This window comes from Homo sapiens, chromosome 3, assembly GCF_000001405.40.
Source record: "Homo sapiens chromosome 3, GRCh38.p14 Primary Assembly".
Taxonomy (NCBI): domain Eukaryota; kingdom Metazoa; phylum Chordata; class Mammalia; order Primates; family Hominidae; genus Homo; species Homo sapiens.
Window position 1 is genome coordinate 50,922,106 of NC_000003.12, and position 20,446 is coordinate 50,942,551.

General features: G+C 37.9%; 1 protein-coding gene across 22 annotated transcripts in view, besides 1 other annotated feature; it reads left to right on the forward strand.

Annotated features, from left to right (window-relative positions):
- The window catches only part of DOCK3 (dedicator of cytokinesis 3), a 709,272-nt gene that overhangs the window by 247,179 nt on the left and 441,647 nt on the right, over window positions 1–20,446 (forward strand). For all 22 annotated transcript variants that reach the window (XM_005264914.4, NM_004947.5, XM_006713010.4 and 19 more), the window contains exon 5: window positions 11,876–11,972. In XM_005264914.4, coding sequence (XP_005264971.1) covers window positions 11,876–11,972 — 97 coding nt within the window. The remainder of the gene's footprint in view (window positions 1–11,875; window positions 11,973–20,446) is intronic.
- Window positions 2,553–2,847: a silencer, noted in NCBI's record as "tiled region #894; HepG2 Repressive non-DNase unmatched - State 22:ReprW". NCBI's record gives its function as "represses a minimal TATA promoter and a strong SV40 promoter by Sharpr-MPRA in HepG2 cells {active_cell/tissue: HepG2}" and the evidence as "EXISTENCE:reporter gene assay evidence [ECO:0000049][PMID:27701403]".

The following is a 20,446-nucleotide window of genomic DNA, read 5'->3' on the forward strand; positions in this document are numbered from 1 at the left end:
TGCAGAAGTTTCTGCTGCCTTTTGTTCAGGTATGCCTTTCCCGCAGAGGTGGAGTCTACAGAGGCAGGCAGGCCTCCTTGAGCTGCCATGGGCTCTACCCAGTTCAAGCTTCCTGGCCACTTTGTTCATCTACTCAAGCCTCAGCAATGGCAGACGCCCCTCCCCTGGCCTCACTGCCTCCTTGCAGTTTGATCTCAGACTGCTGTGCTAGCAGTGATCGAGGCTCCGTGGGTGTAGGACCCCCTGAGCCAGGCATGGGATATAATCTCCTGGTGTGCTGTTTGCTAAGACTGTTGGAAAAGCATTGTATTAGGGTGGGAGTGTCCAATTTTCCAGTTACTGTCTGTCATGGCTTCCCTTGGCCAGGAAAGGGAATTCCCCGACCCCTTGCGCTTCCCACGTGGGGCAATGCCCCGCCCTGCTTCGTGGGCTGCACCCACTGTCTGACAAGCCCCAGTGAGATGAACCCGGTACCTCAATTGGAAATGCAGAAATCACCTGTCTTCTGCGTTGCTCACGCTGGGAGCTGTAGACTGGAGCTGTTCCTTTTTGGCCATCTTGGAACCTCCTCCACCTCTGAAGTTTTGTACTTTTGTTTTTTGTTCTTGTCAATTCTAAGGTTTATGCACTTAGCCAGTTTATTTTTAGTCTTTTTTTTTTTTTTAATTTTTTTCTCTCCATAGGTTGTTGGGAACAGGTGGGGTTTGGTTACATAAGAAAGTTCTCTAGTGGTGATTTGTGAGATTTTGGTGTACCCATCACCCAAGCAGTATACACTGCACCCAATTTGTTGTGTTTTTATGCCTCTCCCCCTTCCCACCTTTTCCCCGAGTCCCCAAAGTCCATTGTATCATTCTTAAGCCTTTTCATCCTCATAGCTTAGTCCCACTTATGAATGAGAACATACTATTCTTGGTTTTCCATTTCTGAGTTACTTCACTTAGAATAATAGACTTCAGTCTCATCCAGGTTGCTGTGAATGCCATCAATTCATTCTTTTTTATGTCTGAGTAGTCTTCCATCATATATATATACACCACAGTTTCTTTATCCAGTTGTTGATTGATGGGCATGTAGCTTGGTTCCACATTTTTGCAATTGCAAATTGTGCTCCTATAGACATGTGTGTGCAAGCATCTTTTTTTGTATAATGACTTCTTTTCCTCTGCATAGATTCCCAGTAGTGGGATTGGTGGATCAATGGTAGTTCTACTTTTAGTTCTTTAAGGACACTCCACGCTATTTTCCATAGTGGTTTTTATTTTTAGTCTTTTGTCATGCAAGAATTGAATATTATGGAATTCCCTCTATATAATGCCTTAGCTGCATTCCACAATATTTAATACTTAGTATAAATTTACTAATTGATAATCTCACGAATATTCTCCTTTAGTTTTATAATGTTTCTCTTTTGCTCTTCTCTAAATTGTAGATTTTAGTGTAAAGCTAAACCTTATCACTACCTTTTTAAAAATAGGTGGGGAAACAATCACTGGGGAATGGAGGAGGGGAAAAGTCAATGAAGTTAAATTTATAAATATATACATGACATAGCAAGGAATAATATATTATGGACATTACAGACATGTTTCTCTACCTGGTCACAGAAATTAATTTGTGTTAATGATTTCCTTACTTTACCTCCCATTTTATAATTTCTTTGCCTTAGCCAGGTACTACTTAGCTGTGGTATTTGAGCCCTTGATGGTTTACTGTGCAGAGGGATGCTGTAGTCTTCCACTAATTTTTACCACAGAGCATGATAGTATTATGATATTCCCTGGGGATCTTTTGGGTTCCATTCATGCTTCTTCCTACTCTGTTGTATAGCACCAAAAGTACTTCTGTTGAAGACTTGTAAAAATCATGCCAACCAATGCCAAAACTGCTGCTGTTTTTGTTTGTTTGTTTGTTTGTTTGTTCAGTGGCAGGGGTAACCTGAACCTGAAATGGCCTCATGGGAATCTCAGCTTCAATATAATTGAATCATATTGTTATCTGTGTATGCATGTTTCCCTTGAATTCTAAATTAGCAGAGCCAGAGTCCTCAAAGATAGAAAGCAAAAAATTTGCAAGTGAGTCATTAGGTGTGAGAATGAGAAGTTGTCTTTTACATTTCTACTTCATGTTTCTGGACCCATGTATTGTGGTTATGGGAGAAACATAACTTTATATTAGTTACTGGTTCAGAATAATTGTCGCAATTTGTGGATTGCCCCATCATTAAAAAAGCTAGCATAACAAAGTCTTCTATAGTCTTGTCTATTGTTCTATACAGTCTGTTGCTCTGGATGATGAAGTAATTAGTAAGATCAGTTAATCTGTGAGTGTCAGCTCCTTATCTTCCTTCTTTGTGTTTAAAATGAGTTCCTTGCTCATATTCCAGTTTTATATGCAACAGTGTTATGGCAAATAGGGTATTGAATAGTCTACTGAAGGTTATGTTTCCAGAAATGAAGCAGCCAGGGAAAGTAAGTCCAAATCTCATCCTCTTTGTCATGAATGGGGTCAAAAGTATGAACTTGCCTGTAGGCAGTTGGCTAATCCACTTGGAATATGTGTACCACATCCAAGTCTCAGGGTTGCCCACTGCTACCGGTCAGTTCTGATTCAGCAGTTGTGGTGTCAGATCAGCCTTGGTGAGGGAAAGTTCATGGAGTTGAGCTCCTCTATAGCTGCTATTTCTTTCACAGCATTCTTTTCAGGATGGCTGGGAAAGTAAACAGATTGAATTTACAGGACACTGGGGACAATTATGCGGGTGGTGTATGGTCTAAGGAAAATGGGCTTCTCTTTGCAAGATAATTCACTCAGGTGATGTAGTCTCACAGCATGTAAGCAAGGCAAGGATACCCTCATCAGCCCAGAAGGAGGGACTTTTTCTGATGCCAAAAGGAGGTTTACTAGGGGTGGAGCTCAGACTTTCCTAAGTTATCCCATGTCTTTATTCTATCTCCATTCTGATTCACAGGTTACTGTTATTTTTATGTCACTACCCTGCCTTTTATCTTAATTTTAATGAAAAGGCCATGAATTCAACTGATCTTGTAATTCAGCAATCCTTAGGATCAAAACTTGAGTTTGATTTTTGGCTATATGAGTGATGAAGCTGAAAGAGAAAATGAACTCTTGCATGAGCATCAAAAAAGTGAGCATTAAGCTTTTTGCAGTCCTGGTTTCCTGATTAGATATTATTCTTGCAAGTAGTATTTTATGTATATCAGATTGTCTCATCCATCTGTCAAAGTCAAATAAATGACAAATCTCTAGACAAAGCATTTTATTTGGAAGGCCAGGCATATTGGCACATACCTGTAGTCTTGGGTCCTCGGGAGGCTGAGGCAGGAGGATTGCTTGAGCCAAGGAGTTTGAGGCCATAGTGCACTATGATCATGCCTGTGAATAGGCACTGCTCTCCAGACTGGGAAACATAGCAAGACTCTGCCTCCTTAAAAAAAAAAAGTTTTATTTAGGAAAGCAGAATGGCCATTCAGGGCATACACACAGACAGGGTAGTCTTCTTTGTGTCCGAAGAAGAAACAGAAGGTTGGGGTTTTATTAGAGAAATGTTACATATTGTTTTGAAAGAAAACTTACTAACACTAGTGAAGTTTTTGGGAGCTGGCAAGCTCTGATTGGTTGGGTGAGTGATGGCGGTAGGTAAAACTGTTCTTAAAGTCATGGCAGTTCATTTCAGCAGCTACTAGGTAAAACTAGTCTTTTTTTTTTTTTTTTTTTTTTTTGAGACAGAGTCTCACTCTGTCGCCCAGGCTGGAGTGCAAATGACACAATCTTGGCTTACTGCTACCTCTGCCTCCCGGGTTCAAGTGATTCTCCTGCCTCAGCCTCCTGAGTAGCTGGGATTACAAGGCACGCACCACCAAGCCTGGCTAACTTTTGTATTTTTAGTAGAGATAGGGTTTTACCATGTCGGCCAGGCTGGTATCAAACTCCTGACCTCAAGTGCTCCACCCACCTTGGCCTCCCAAAGTTATAGCAGGCCATTTTGGCAGCTGGCTTGTGATATAACCCTTGGACAGGTGCTTTGTGCCCGAGTGCTTCTCTCCTCCCCTGATGCAGTCTCTTGACATTAATTTAGTTGGGTATGCCAAGATAATTCCAATTCATGTAACCAATTTTTATATATCCATTCTACATCTGCTAGATTTGTTAACTCTTAGTTAAAGGGAGAATCAGTAGATCAACAGTACCTGGAAGATTTCTTGCTTTTGAGCATACAGGCCAAGGGTTTTTTAAAAAAGTTTGCCTATTAATTTGTTCATTCGTTTGTTCATCCATTTATTTAATTCATTCTATGACCTCATTCTTGGTCTATTTACCAAAGCTTTTCTCAAACTCAGTCTCATGCTTTTCTCTAGGATGGAGACAATATTAGACTGTGCTTCTAGTTATGCATATTTTATTTATAAGTGTTACAGGAACCTTGACATTATCATAACCAGAGAGGGTTAGAGATCTGGGGCTTCAGTTAGATGAAAGTGGGACTTGAAAGGGAATTAGCATGGGTGCCCACTATAGCAAGATGGTGAGAGTTGTTGAGAGTCAGCTGCTAAGGAACAGTAGGAAAGATGTGAGCACGTTATGGACTGTTGGGTGGAGTTGGTACAGCATTAGACAGCTGAGAAGAAGAAGGAGAAACTCAGTGTCCTAAATTGTCACATTATGTCATGGAATGAAAAACAAGTACATTCTGGGGTTATAGTTTCTTGCCTGTGTTACAGCACCACCTTCTAACTGGTCTCCCTGTTTCTATCCATGTTCCCTTGCAGTTTATAGTGCAACATAACTGCCAGAGTTGTTCTTTAAAAATATGTTAGATCATGTTACTCCTCTGCTTAAAACCTTCTAGCGACTCCCGTCTCACACAGAGCAAACATTGAAGTTCTTACAAAGGCTTACAAGTTTTATGATGTGACTTCCTGTCACCCTGTAACCTTCAGTGACACTGGTTTTCTTGCTTTTATTCAGTCATTTCAGGTATGCTCCTGCCTTGAGGCTTCTATTGTTTCTTATGCTTGGGATTAGCTTTGTCACTTCCTTCAGGCCTTTTCTGAAATCTTCTCAGTGAAACATACCTTGACTACAGTATTTATTTCTGCCTCCTTCCTTCCCCTCACTGACTTAAAACTGGATGCTCCCACAGGGCAGTGGGGAGTGGGGGATGAGGAGGGATTGGTTAGTGGGTACCGAAATACCGCTAGATAGAATAAGATCTAGTCGTTTGATAGCACAACAGGATGTCTATAGCTAACAATAATTTATTGTATATTTCAAAATAGCTAGAAGAGAAGATTTAGAATGTTCTCAATACAAAGAAATCATAAATATTTGAGGTGATGGATATTCCATTTACCAAGATTTTCTCATTACACATTGTGTGCTTATATCAGAATATTACGTGTACCCCATAAATATGTACAACTATTATACATCCATAAAAAATCAAAATAAAAATAAGTACTACATGGGAAATTTTAAAAAAGGCTACTGTCTCTGGAAATTGACTGTAGCTGCTACCAAGTTGTCGTTTTTTCAGTCTTTGCTTCTAGAAGTCATTGGTTTCCTTTTCTAAGTCTGGGTTGAAAGGAGCTTAGGTCATAGCCCTGTGTTCCCCAGATGCAGGAAGAGTGATAAATCAAGTATCCATCATTTTACACTCACCTAATGGAAGACAGTGTGTCTCTACATTCTGCCTAGGGGAAGGGGATTATGAGGCAGAACAGAGAAGGAAAAAAATAATCCCACAATTGTCTGTAACACTGCCGTTTACTTCTTTTGAGATTCCTATTAGCAGTAGACGAGAGTTTTTCCACCTCTCTCCCATGTACTCTTAAGTACTCGTAGATACTTTGGGACTGTTTTTTTCCCCTGACCTGCATTCTAGAGAGATTTCATCAGTACTGTCTTGCAGCTGTTTTCTTTGAATTCTTTCTAACATGTATCCTCTCTATTGAGGTTTCCTTTTTTCACTGGCAATATTTTTGTGTGATTTTATTGTGATGATATATATATATATATATATATATATAATAAAGTTTACCATTTCACCTCTTTAAGTGTACAATCCAGTGGCATCAAATACATTCACAATGTTGTGCAGCCATCATCACAATTCATCTCCAGAACTTTTTCATTATCGCCAAAAGAATCTTTGTCCCTGTTAAACAGTTACTCCCCATTCTCCCTCTACCCAGCCCCTGGTAATCTCTATTCTATTTTCTGTCTCTATGAATTTTCATATTCTAGGTACCTAATATAAATGGAATAATGACATTTGTCTTTTTGTATCTGGCATATTTCACTAGCATAGTGCTTTCATGATTCATCTATGTTGTAGAATGTATTAGAATTTCATTCCTTTTTAAGGTTGAATAATATTCCATTGCACTTATATATACCACATTTAATTTTTCCATTCATCTATTGATGGACACTTGGGTGTTAATAGTTTTCGTTTGCAAGTTTCCTAGTTGATTCTATTGCATATTATTGGTTCTTGTTTTATTTGTGCTTGGTTTTGTTTCATACTTTTTCCTTTCTGAAATGGAAGTGATTCTTTTCATTTCTCTAAGCATCTTAAACATTTAAAAATGTTTATCAGGCAATTTCATAAAATTAATTTTATCTGAAAAGAATTTACAGATGGTTCCCAGTGTATGATGGTTTGCCTTAAGATTTTTCTACTTTACAGTGGTACGAAAGTCATATGCATTCAGTAGAAACCATACTTTGGGTACCTGTATAACCATTGTGTTTTTTACTGTCAGTACAGTGTTCAACAAGTTATATGAAATATTTAGCACTTTACTATAAAACACACTTTTTGTTAGATGATTCTGCCAAACCATAGGGTAATATAAGTGTTCTGAGCACATTTAAGGGAGGATAGGCTAAGCTATGGATGTTTGGCAGGTTAAATGCATCTTTGACTTCATGATATTTTCAACTTACAGTGGGTTTATGAGGATGTAACTCTGTTGTAAGTCGAACAGCATTGTGTTATTTTTAAGCCTTTGAACATTATAGAGTCTTCATGTGTTGCAGAATTTGGTTTTCAGAAGTGGATTATTTTGTTTCCTCTCTCTGTTTCTGCCTCTGAGCATATCTGTCTAGTGCTTGAGCAGTTACTGCCGTCTGTCCCCTAACCTCCAGTGTGGAACCAGGTCCTTCAACAGCATTTTAGAGCTTCTTCCCCACAGTGACACTGGGGCTGTGGTAGATTCTGACCCTTGGCTGAAGTGGGGAGGGGGCTGCTTAAGGTCCAGTCTCCTTAGTCCTGCAGCTTGCTAAAAACCATAGTCCCAAATGAGGTTTAATAGCAATTGGTGTTGTGTCTCATGTTGGTCTTCTTTTCCGAAACTTCAACCAGTGAATCTGGCCTTGCTTCTCATGTCATTTTGAGCACTTTTTTGTCCTTGTCATCCCTCTAAGTTCCTAGTCACCAGTGCTGGCTTTTGACTTCAGAGTCCAGAAGACCTATGATTTCACACTGGTTCACTGCTGTGTTTTTGTTGTTGTTGTTCTGTTGCTACTACGCTGAGATATTTATTTTATTTTGGAGCCCAAAAATATTTGTATTTTACCTATAATTGCTGTGTCTTTGGAGCTGAGGAAATATGTCAAAATAAGAACTTACTGAGATATTTTGATAAGACATCTGTAAAAAATATAAAGAACAATATAAAATCTAGCTGATTTTGACATTTTATTCTAGAAAGTCTTTGCTTAATTCTAAGCAATGAAAATTAAAGTTTAAGAGTCAACAATAGCTACCATTTATTAAATATCCTATACACTAATCATTTTATTTGACACTTCACACTTACCACATCACACTTTGGTATCCCAGATTCATAGTGGAATTATCCACTTACTTCCAATGAGGAAGGCAAGGCTTTGAGAGTTCAAATACCTTTACCAAAGTAGCTTAGCTAGGAAGTGAGGAAACCAGCAGTTGAGGCCAAATTATCATAAGTCCTACGTCTTAGAACTTTAAAATAGGAACACTCTAAGTTTTTTATAGATCTTAATGATTAAAGTAGCTAAAGACCTAATAGATTAAACTCCAAGGAAATTATATTTTACTTTGTCTTGCATATCATTTCTGCATTAATCTTAGTAAAACACAACACTCCTTTAACATCACTCATGTTTCCCTATTTCCATAGTGTCAAATTTAAAATCTCACAGCCTTGTAGTGAGTGCAGAGGTCCAGATCCACAGCCCCCGCCTTGGGCGGCTGCAGCCTCACTGGTGCAAGTCTTCTGCCTGCTCCCTGCCCACAAGAGCCCAGGGAGACCCAGGTCCACAACCCTGACTTGGGCAGCTGCAGCTGTGCCCAAAACGATGGGGCTGCTACCTGCTCCTGGCCCCCTGGAGCATGCAGCCCCGCTGCACTCCCTCACAGCCTGGGCCCCAGCCCAGGTCCTTGCTGGGCCCAGGCCAGTGTCCAGGGCAGAGGCAACGTCTCCCCAGGCTCCCTTGGTGGCTCCAGTGCTCAGGGGCAGCGCAGAGCTCCCCCTCACCTGGCTTGGGGCCCTGCCCAGGGTGGGCACCTCTGGGAGTGGATCACAGGCCTCGGGCCGGCAATTGGGAGTGATACTGTGCAGACCCTTATGGGGCAGACCCTGGGGATGCGACCCTGGGCGGGCTTGTGCAGACAGCCTCTTGCAGAGGCCCAGGAACCCAGTGCTGTCTGTGGGGTGGGCATGGCGACCGTACCTCTGGCTGATCCCCGAAGTGGGCACCACTCTCACTTCCCCCGAAGCGTGGCCCCAAGCACTGCCTCCTCCCTTCACCCTCCCTGCAGCAGTGGCAGGAGAGGGCAGTGACTTGGGGACAGGGTCTGGGGCCACAGAGGCTCCGGGCCTGGGGGTGGGTCATGCCCGGCTGTGTAAGGGTGACGGCGGTGCAGTCAGCTGTCTCCTGGAGGTAGGGCACGGGAGACTCACCACTGCTCCTGCAGCCACTCCTGCTGCCACCGCCCATGCCTCCCCACTACAGACGGCCTGCTGCTGCCATCAGTAGCATGAATTATCTTTAATATGCCTTGCTCATTATTTTCTCTATACCACTTTTTATAGCATAGTACAGTGTTTAGGGCTCTCTCTCCACCTGCTTACCTTTCAGACCCAAGCCTCTTCTAGGAACTTCACTTTCTTCATGAATCTTTATCTGACTGCAGCAGTTTACAGTGAACCTCCTTTTTTAGAACATTAGATGTTATAGTTAATGTCACACATTTAGCACCTATTTGTGCTTTATGTTTAAGTTTTGTTACTAAGATTGTGATTTCCCTGATTGTTTCTATACATCTCCTAATTATCTCTGCAGCATTCTTAAGATGTGGTATATGGAAATAACTTCAGAAATTTCAACTTATAACCAGTAGCTTGAAGAAATAAAGGATGTCTTCTCATTCAATTTGAATTTGTGTAGCAAGTCATTATGACTTTCTTCTCAGATATGACATTTATCATTAGCTTACTCCTTTTCATCTGAGAAGATCAATATGACCTATTTCAAAAAATTAAAGTAAATTAAACCATAGTTATTTTCCTGCTCCCATCTTCCCCAGATACTCAGCCATGCTGATCACCACAATATTTGGGGTGGGGTGAGAAAAGTGAGTCTCTTGGGCAGTGTCTTACATGGCTGGTGGAGCCGAGTGCCTAATCATTCTGCTTTCCGCTGTGAGAGAAATTGGAGGGTTATGGAGTTTCTCTTGTTGAGCTGTACTGCTTTGTGGGAGGAGTGATGCAGGTAAAATGAAACTTTCTTCTTACCCTCTTCACTGCATCTATTCTGGATTTTTTGCCTCAGTGGTGTACTGAAACTTTTCTGCTGGATTCCTAGACTCCCACAAAGGTACTCTTGTCCATAAGTTGTGGTCAAAATTGATGCTTCTTGGGGGCAGATGACAGTAGAAAGCACCTCTTCTGCCATCTTGCTGATATTACCTTTGTCACATTTTACTCTTAACAAGCCCTTGATGAAAGCTTTTATATTAATGAGCTTGTAAATTTTTTGGATATAGATAATGCCATTGCATTATTTCAAGGTGACTTTTTGTAATCTGCTGTGGTAAGTCACACAAAATAAGAACACAGTAAAACTGTAAGACATAATCAGATAACATATATTCATTGATGCTCAATTTTACTGCACTGAGTCATCTTTGAACACAGTGGTGCTTTGTCAGCTGTCTTCTTGTGGAAACAAATAATACTTGATGCTAATTTTGTGGAATACATTTTCCTGTACTTTTTTTTTTCAGATGGATGATATTCCCCTTGGCTAATAAACGGGTATAAGTTACCTCAATATATCAGTATATTAAGTCTTTGGTCATAGAAAGTTTTTATTGACCCTCAACATTGGTGTGGACATTATAGAAATATTATCAAGTTAGTCCCCGTGCTTTCAGTAACTTTTCATTCAGGTTACTTGTGTTAAGATCTGGAATTTTTACTGTCTTTTGAAAAGGTCCTATGACAGCTGGTCCCAGTCATACCAGCTTTTTTTCATCTTGGATGTGTGAAATTATTTTCCAACTCAGTGACATCTTGCATACTTTTCTCGTTTGCAGGTGGCACCATAACTGGTTTTCTCCCTCCCCACACGCTTTTCATGTCATGATTTTTTTGCATGTATTGGGCCTTGACATTTCTTCAGAGAAGAGTTCATTGATCTGCTCATTGTAAATTGTATAACACAGCTAAAATCTTTCATTGTACTTGTATTAGTCTGTTCTCATGCTGCTAATAAAGACATATCTGAGACTGGGTAATTTATAAAGAAGAGATTTAATGGACTCACAGTTCCACGTGGCTAGGGAGACCTCACAATCATGGCAGAAGGCAAAGGAGGAGCAAAGTCACATCTTACATGGCAGCAGACAAGAGAGCATGTGCTGGGGAACTCCTCTTTAAAAAAGCCATCAGATCTTGTGAGACTTATTCACTATTATGAGAACAGCCTGGGAAAGACCCACCCCGATGATTCAGTTACCTCTCACTGGGTCTCTGCCACAACACATGGGAATTATGAGAGCTACAAGTCAAGATGAGATTTGAGTGGGGACACAGCCAAACCATATCAGTACCTTTTCATTTTCATTTTAGATTTATTACTGTCCATGTCTGTCTGATTCCCTATTCAGACCAAGAGCTCTCTGAAGATAGAAATCCTGTTCCTTTTTGTTCACTGATAAATTTTTGACAGTTAGCACAGGGACTGGCATTATAGTGGATGCTGCTTATGAAGTAGTCAGAGAGAATCCAAGCACCTTTCTGTTACCAGGTTCAGAATTCCTCTACCAGACTTAGAATTCCTCTGCTGACATTATGTTGCAGGAAAATACAATACCAATATAAGGGAGTATGCATTAAACTTTTCAAAGTTTAATTGTGTGGGTTCCTCCCCTCCACAACCCCCCACATTTTTCCAGATTTTTTTTTTTAACTGAGGGTATGAGCAAACTTTCAAACAGAAAAATGTTAAAGGTCATAAATAATTTAAAAAAACTAATCCGAGCAAGACTTGGGTAGTATCATGGTTTTTCATTGAAGGAAAAAAGCTTAGAGTCTGTTCTTTAAAAAGTGTGTTTTAAGGATAGCATTTATAAAAGTAAAATTGAGGACATACAGTAAAACCCAAATCTCTTTACTTTAATTCAGTTTACTTTCACTGTTGCAGTATATCATTATAAAAAGGTCTTTGATCAATTAGATATACTTCTTTTTTATTTGCATAAATTTAAAATTTGAGTTAAACAAGTAGAAAAAGACAGGAGACAGTTTGCCGAGATTTTTTTCAGAGATAATGTGGCTGTCTTTTGTGGCTCTGGTTCTAGGCAGTATGAAACTGTGGTTCCACTTGAAGATTCTATTGTGACTGAGGTTACAGCAACTCTACAAGAATGGGCAAGTTTGTGGAAACAGTTGTATGTGGTAAGTAGTTGATTACTGGTTTATTGGATCATTAAAGTTTAGTGTACCAAGTAAAAATATTAAACTATGCTAAGTATGCATTTTAGATTTCTGAATATTTGCAGTTTATCAAACATATGTTCTTAATATTTACTGAAACATAGCAGACTGAGTTTTTTCAACCTGAGGAGAACACATTATTATTCATATGCCTGTAGTTTCTCTCCTCCAGTCACTGGAATATGTTACATAACACCAGGGATCTTAGCTGTCTTACTCATTGTTGTGTCCCCAGATGCTTTATAAAACAGATATTTACAGAACAAATGAACCAACTTGAGACTTACTTATTTTTATCTTTTGTGAACCCAGTGGTGGGTATAAAGGCCGATAAATTGTGTTAACAGTTTTTAACAGCTACTAAGCTTCAAGGATATGTCATATCTGACACTTTGCTGGCCCAAAAAATTAATAGAAAATCTAATAAAAGCCAGGCATGATGGCTCACACCTGTAATCCCAGTGCTTTGGGAAGCTGAGGCAGGAGGACTGCTTAAGGCCAGGAGTTTGAAACCACCGTGGGGGCCACCATCTCTGCACAAAATAAAAAATTTAGTTGGGTGTGGTGGTGTGTGCCTGTAGTCCTAGCTACTTGGGAGGCTAAAGAGTGAGACCTTGTCTCTTAAAAAAAAAAAAGTAATAGTAACCTAATAAAAAAAGTAATAAACTTCTCAGGAAACTTAGAAAGTAGAGAGTGATAAGATGTAGAAATAATCATAATATCTACACTAAAAGTAAGTGACAGGGTTTGGGCTCTGGACGATATGGAGTAAACACATTTTACTTTACTTCTACTAATCACAACAAAAAGCCCTGGGTAAAACACATAATTCACCTACTGGAAAACTCTGAAAGTCAGAAAAAAGAGAATGAACTACCAAGGGATTTGGGGGCTCAAGGATCAAATGAATTCTCTCTCTCTCTCTTTTTTTCTCCTTTCTGTACCTTCATATATCCTGACCTGGTCTCTAGAGAGGCACACAACTTGGAAATGCTAGTGGGTAGAAACCAACAAACAAAAGAAAATTAGTGCCAAGGAAAGCCTGTTCTCTCTAGCCAAAGGATAGCCCCAAAAGACAGAAACTTTTAGTAATACTTTACTGTTCTCTAAGAGAACAGCACAATAAAAGCTGTATTTCTCTCCTACCCTAACAGGCATTTCAGCAGTGGAATCCATAACCAGTACTGTTTTATACATACATCCTCCCCCTCCTACAGTAACAAGGGGATGCCCCTCTCCAGTGGAGTCTGTAGAATGAACTGGAAAAATCTGGAAAAATGTAGGGGTGGGTGGCAGGGAGGAACCCAGAAAATTAAACTTTCACCCCCTACCCTATAGTAATGAAGTGGTGCCCCACCTCAGTGGAATATGAAGTAAGGAGGAGGTAACTTTCCATGGAGAAACCTGTGGTTGGAACTCTTGATTTCTACTTTCCTTGTTGTACTCTCCCCAGCTGAGCCTGTGGGAAGACTCTGACTTCCACCCTCCCTTCCCCGCTGCATTGGTGAGGCAGACCCTGTGGGATAGTACCCTGTCTTCCATCCTTGCCCTGCTAAAATGAGGCAGTGCTTGTCCCCACCCAAACTCAAACTGAGGAGATAGTAGGGTGAAGTTACGTCATCTACATAACACAAATGAGGGAAATCAGAAAAGCACTGCAGAGATTTTTGTAACTGGATTGATGTTCAACCACAGCCCATAAAGATGAGAAGGTTGCAGTTTTAAGCAGGTTGACTACTTGCTAAAATAGATGATTTAAATAGGAACCGGAGTGTCATAGTATAATAATGTTCAGGATATGGCCCAAAATTACTTGTCATATGAAAAATCAGGAAAATAGAAACTCAACAGATGCCAATATTGAGATGACACAGATGTGGAATGATTGACAAAGACTTTTAAACAGCTTTTGTAAAAATGCTTCAACAAGCAATTACAAACACTCTTGAAACAAACAAAAACATAGACGACCTTAGGAACAAAGTAGAAACTATAAAGAACCAAATGAAAATGATAGAACTGAAATCTATAATAACCAAAATTAAAAAAATATTATATGGGCTCAATAGCAGCCTATAGAAATTATAGAGAAATGAACAGGTCAATTTGAAGATAGCTCACTAGAAATTCTCCAATACAAATAATGGAGAGAAAAATAGAAAAAATGAGCTCTGCTTCCAGAGACCTGTGGAACAATAACGTAAGATGTAACACTGTAGCCTCAGAATACTAGATAGAGAGGACAGGATGTGGAGCCAAAAAAAAATTTTTTTTTTTTTTAAGAAATAATGGCTGAAATTTTCCAGTTTGGCGGAAGACATAAGTGTTTTACATTCGGGAAGCTTAGTGAACTCCAAATGGGAAAACCCCAAAGAAATCTATACTCAGACACATCATAGTCCAAATTCTGAAAATTAAAGCCAAAGAAGAAATCTTGAAGGTAGCTAGAGGACATTAACACATTAGCTGTGTCAGCAATTTGAGTAACAGGTTTCTCATCAGAAAGTATGGCAGACAGGAAGTATCCCATCATTTTTCAACTGCTTAAAGAAAAAAACAAAACAGATTACCCTGAATTGTGTATGCAGCAAAAATATGCTTCAAGAATGAATGGATAATCAACCCATATCAGAAGGAGGAAAGCTAAGAAAATTTGTTGACAGCAGATTGGTTCTAAAAGAATGACTATAAAGGAAGTTGTTCAGAAAGAAAGGGAGTGATAACAGGATGCTTGGAACATTAGGAATGAAGAAAGCAATGGAAAGGGTAGATTAATTATCTCTTCTGTTTTTAAAATTATGTTTGATAATACAAAGCAAAAATTATAATGTTGATACAGTTCTCAGTGTATGTTGAATTAATATTTAAGAAAACTGTTGGCTGGGTGTGGTGGCTCATGCCTGTAATCCCAGCACTTTGGGAGGCCGAGGTGGGTAGATCACCTGAGGTCAGGAGTTTAAGACTAGCCTGGCCAATGTGGTGAAACCCTGTCTCTACTAAAAATAGAAAAATTAGCTAGACATGGTGGTGCATGCTTGTATTCCCAGCTACATGGGAGGCTGAAACAGGAGTATCACTTGAACCTGGGAGGCGGAGGTTTCAGTAAGCCAAGATTGTGCCATTGCACTCCAGCCTGGGCGATGAGAGCAAAACTCCATCTAAAAAAAAAAAAAAAAAAAAATTTATAAAGTGGAGAGGGAAAAGGACATAAATTATAATAGGGTAACTACATTCCATTTTAAGTATTAAAACATTCGGCTGGGCACGGTGGCTCACGCCTGTAATCCCAGCACTTTGGGAGGCCGAGGCGGGCAGATCACGAGGTCAGGAGATTGAGACCATCCTAGCTAAGACGGTGAGACCCTGTCTCTACTAAAAATACAAAAAAATTAGCCGGGCGTGGTGGTGGGTGTCTGTATTCCCAAGCTACTCGAGAGGCTGAGGCAGGAGAATGGCATGAACCCGGAAGGCAGAGCTTGCAGTGAGCAGAGATGACGCCAGTGCACTCCAGCCTGGGTGACAGAGCGAGACTCTGTCTCGAAAAACAACAACAGCAGCAATGAAAAATTAATACTGGTAGGCTGAGCAGCTACATATGTATATTGCAATCTCTAGAGCAATCATTAAAATATTAAAGTGATATAATAAAAAGTACTGTAAAATCAAAATAGAACACTAAAAATGTTAAAGTAACCTACAGAAAAATAAGAAAGGGGAAATAGAGGCAGGTAAAATAGAGGGAGCAAACACAAAAGTAAATACCAAAATGGCAGACTTAAATCCTAATATATGAGTGATTACAAGATAGAGTTTAGCAGAATTGTACAATTAAAAAAAAACTATATGTTGTTTATATGAAACTCACTTCAAACTCACTTGTCTATATGATGATGTAGGGAGGCTAAAGGTTACAGATAGAAAAATATATACTATGCAAACATTAATAGAAGAAAAACAGGGTAATTATGTTAATAACATGTCATTATATTATGAATACTTTTTCCTTAAATAAATATTAATTATACTAATATCAGAAAAATTCAATATCAGAGCAAAGAAAACTACCAGGGAAAAAGGGACATTATAAAATGATAGAAGGATCAGTTCACTGGGAAGACAAAATAATCTTAATCTAACAGAGGTGCAAAATAAATAAAGCAAAACCTGAAAGAACTGAATGGAGAAAAGAGAAAAAAGTCACTGTTATGGTTGGGGATTAATAACGCATTCTCTTAGTAATCCGTATAACCACTAGGCAATAGTCATCAGGAATAGAGAAGAACTGAACAGTGCAATCAACCATAGGCTCTAATTGAAATTTATAGAATACTTAATAAAATCAGGATACAGATTCTTTTCAGTCAAACATGTTCATTCACCAAGATAGACAATATCTTAGTTCATAGAACAAATTCGACAAGTTTGTAATAATTGAAGTCATACAAAGGATATTCTAACCATAATGGAAACAAATTAAAAATCACTAACAAGAAAAAAAGAAAACAAGAAAACCTGAAAAATTAACCCACTACTAAATGATCTGTGTCAAAGAGGAAACTGTAAGAGAAATAAAAGCTATATCAAAATGAATTTAAATGAAAATATATTAAAATTTGTGGGATACTGCAAAAGCATTGTTGAAAGGGAAATGTATGCTTTAAGTCCTAATAATAGGAAAAAAAGCAAGGTTTCAAATCAATGATTGCAGCTCCTGCTCTACTGTAAGAAACTAAAAAAGGACTCCAGCCTGGACATCACAGTGAGACTCTGTAAAAAAAAAATAATAATAATAATCCAAAGCAAGCAGAATGAAGGAAAAAATGAAGAGCAGAAATTAATGAAATTTAAAAAATAGAAAAGCAATAGGGAAAATCAAAGCAAAAACTGGTTTATAAAAGATTAATAAAATTGATAAACACCTACCAAAACTGAAAAAGAAAATGAGGGAAAATACTAATTACCAATTTATCAAGAGTAAAGAAAGAGATATCACCACAGACATTAAGCAGGCAAAAAGAAAATACTGTAAACAACTTTACATACATGATAGTTTAAGATGAATAGGTCAAATTCTAGAAAACCATAAATTGTCAAAACTCACCCAAGACAAAATAGATAATCTGAAAATCCTGCAACTGTTAACATAATTGAATTTATAATTAAAATCCTTCCAAAAAGAACTATCCAGGCAAATAAATAACACTAGTTTTATACAGAGTCTTCTAGAAAATGGATGAGGAGGGAATACTTCCTAATTCATCTTATGAGGCTGCTATTACCTTGATATCAAAATTAGACAAAGACAGTACAAAAAGAAAAAAATCTGGAGTATCTCTTATGTTTGTGACTATAGACACAAACATCCTCAATAAGGTATTAACAACTTGATCAATATATAAAAATAATAATATACCATGGCCAGTGGGGTTTATTCTGGTAATACAAGGATGGTTCAGTATTTGAAAATCAATTAGTATAATCCATTATATTAACATTCTAAAGAAGAAAAACCACTTGATGACATTAGTTGATTCAGGAAAGTATTTTAGAAAATTCAGCACCCATTCATGATAACAACTCTCAGTAAACTAGCAGTAGAAGCAAACTTCCTCAGCTTGATAAAGGATATTTATAAAAACCCACAGCAAATGTGGTAATGATGATAGACAGTCTGCTTTTGTGAACAAGGCAAGGATGTTAGCTCTCAACACTCCTATCAACACAATATTAGAAGATTTAACCAATGGAGTAAAGCAAGAAAACGAGAGATATACAGATAGAAAGGAATAAATAAAACTCTTCCTGTTTGCAGATTATATGGTTGGCTGCATAGGAGATCTCAAGGAATCAACAAACAAGAAGACACTAGAGTTTGAAAAGAAACCTTTTAGAATTAATAAACAAGTTTGTGGTTGCAGATATCCAAACACATACCCACAGACACACACATACACACACAAACACACACACACATTCATATTTCCACAAATAACAATGAATAATTGAAAACTAAAATTTAGAACACAGTACCATTTATTAGTTGCTCAAGAAAAAATGAGGCCAGGCACAGTGTCTCATGCTTGTCAGTACTTTGGGAGGCTGAGGCAGGAAGACTGCTTGAGCCCAGGAGTTTGAGATCAGCCTGGGCAACATAGCAAGATCCCATTTCTACCAAAAAAAAAAAAAAAAAAGGAAGAAGGAAAACAAAGAAACACTTGGGCATAAATCCAACAGAACATGCACAAGATCTGTATATTGAAAACTGCAAAATGCTAATTAAAAAAGACCTAAGTAATGGAGAGGCAGTATGCTCACGGATTAGAAAAGACATATTAAAAATATTTGTTCTATCCAGACTGTTGATCTGTATATTTAATGTAATTCCTAAAACATTCCTGGCAGGATTCTTTTAGATATAGACAAGCTGATTCTAAAATTTATAGGGAAAGTTGAAATTATTTTTTTAAATTAAAAATAAAATTTCTAGGGGAATGCAAAAGAACTAAAACGGTTAAACAATTTTGAAAAGAATAATAAAGTTGGAAGAATCACTCGATCTAATTTTAACACTTACTGTACAGTAATCAAGGCAGAGTGGTACTGGCAGAGGGATAGACACTTAAAGGGACCAAGATAGAGCCTGAGATGTAGATTCACACAGGTATGCACAACTGATTTTTGACAAAGGTACAAAAGCAGTTAAGTAGAGGAACGATAGTCTTTTCAGCAAATGGTGTTGGAATAGTTGGATATTCATAGGCAAAAGGAAAAAAAAACCCTGCCTAAGTATCATCCTTTTTATAAAAAGTTAACTCAAAATGGATTATAGGCTCAAATGTAACATGTAAAACTAAAACTTTCGGAAGAAAATTTTAGGAGAAAACGTTCATGACCTAGTCTTAAGTGGAGACATGACACTAAAGGAAATGATCCATAGAGTAAAAAGGCAATACATTGGACTTCTATCAAAACCAAAATTTTTGTTCTTGAATGACCCTGTTAAAAGGATGAAAAGGTAAGCCATATACTGGAAGAAAATATTTGAAAATTATATATCCATCAAAAGATTTGTATCTAGAATATTTATGGAACTCTGTAAATGGAACAGCAATACAACAACTCAGTTGTTGTTGTTGGGCAAAATACTTGAATAGGGACAAGGAGGATATGTGGCTAGCCAGTAAGCACATGAAAAGATTTTTCTACATCATTAGCCAATAGAGTAATGCAAATAATTGCTACAATGAGATACTAATATATACCTGTTAGAATGACTGAAATAAAAATTACTGCTAATACCAAGTGATGCCAAGGATGTGGATCTGCATCTCTCATACATTGCTGGTTAGAATGTAAAATGGCACACCCACTTGGAGAAAAATTTGGACTTTTCTTATAAAGTTAAACATATACTTAATATATGACCCAGCCATCACATTCCTGTGTTTTTACCCTACAGAAGTGAAAGCTTCTGTTCACATAATAGCTTTTACATGGATGTTTATAAAAAGCTTTATTTCTAATAGCATAAACTGGAAGCAATCCAAATATCCTTCAGTAGGTGCATAGAAGAAAAAACTGTGGACTACTACTCAGAAACAAAAAGGAGTAAATGATTAATACATCCAGCAACTTAGAGTGATTGATCTCAAGGGCATGATGCTACTTAAAAAAATGTACCTTCAAAGGGTTGCATACTCTATGATTCCATTTATATGACATTCTCATAGTGACAAAATTATAGCAATTAAGACAGATTTGTGTTTGCCAAGAGCTAAGGTTGAGGTCAGAGTGTGACTGTTAAGGCTTAATATGAGAGAGTGTCTTTATGGTGATGGCACAGTTCTGAGTTCTGATTGTGGTGATAGCTATTTGAATTTACACATGTGGTTTCTTTGTAATGGAGTTAATAATATTGTAACAATGTCAGTTTCTTGGTTTTGACAGTGTACTGTGGTTATATAAGATCTTATCAATGGATGAAGCTGGGTAAATGGTATATGGAATTCTCTGTATGTTTTTGGCAAGTCCTGGTGAATATCAGAGTCATACACACCAGAGGTTTAAAAAGGAATGTTTGCCAGTTATTCAGTAATTTAGGACAAAAATTGTCAATATGATTGACATTTTCTTCCTGATATCACATTCCATATGAACAAAGTTAAATTTTAAGCTTCATAGAAACAAATAGCTTATTTGTGACATAGATGGTCACAAAAATTTTTGTTAAAACTAAAATATTTTACTAATAAAAACAATAATGGTTTTAGACATTTTTAGCATCAATTATGCTATTATGCTATTATGAATAGCTATTATGCTATGCTATTATTTATGCATGAGATTTTAATTATTATTGGCAGTGTTAACTAAATTGACTCCAAAAACAGTAATGTAAATTTGAAGAATCCTTTTTGGTATTAATGTATACAGTA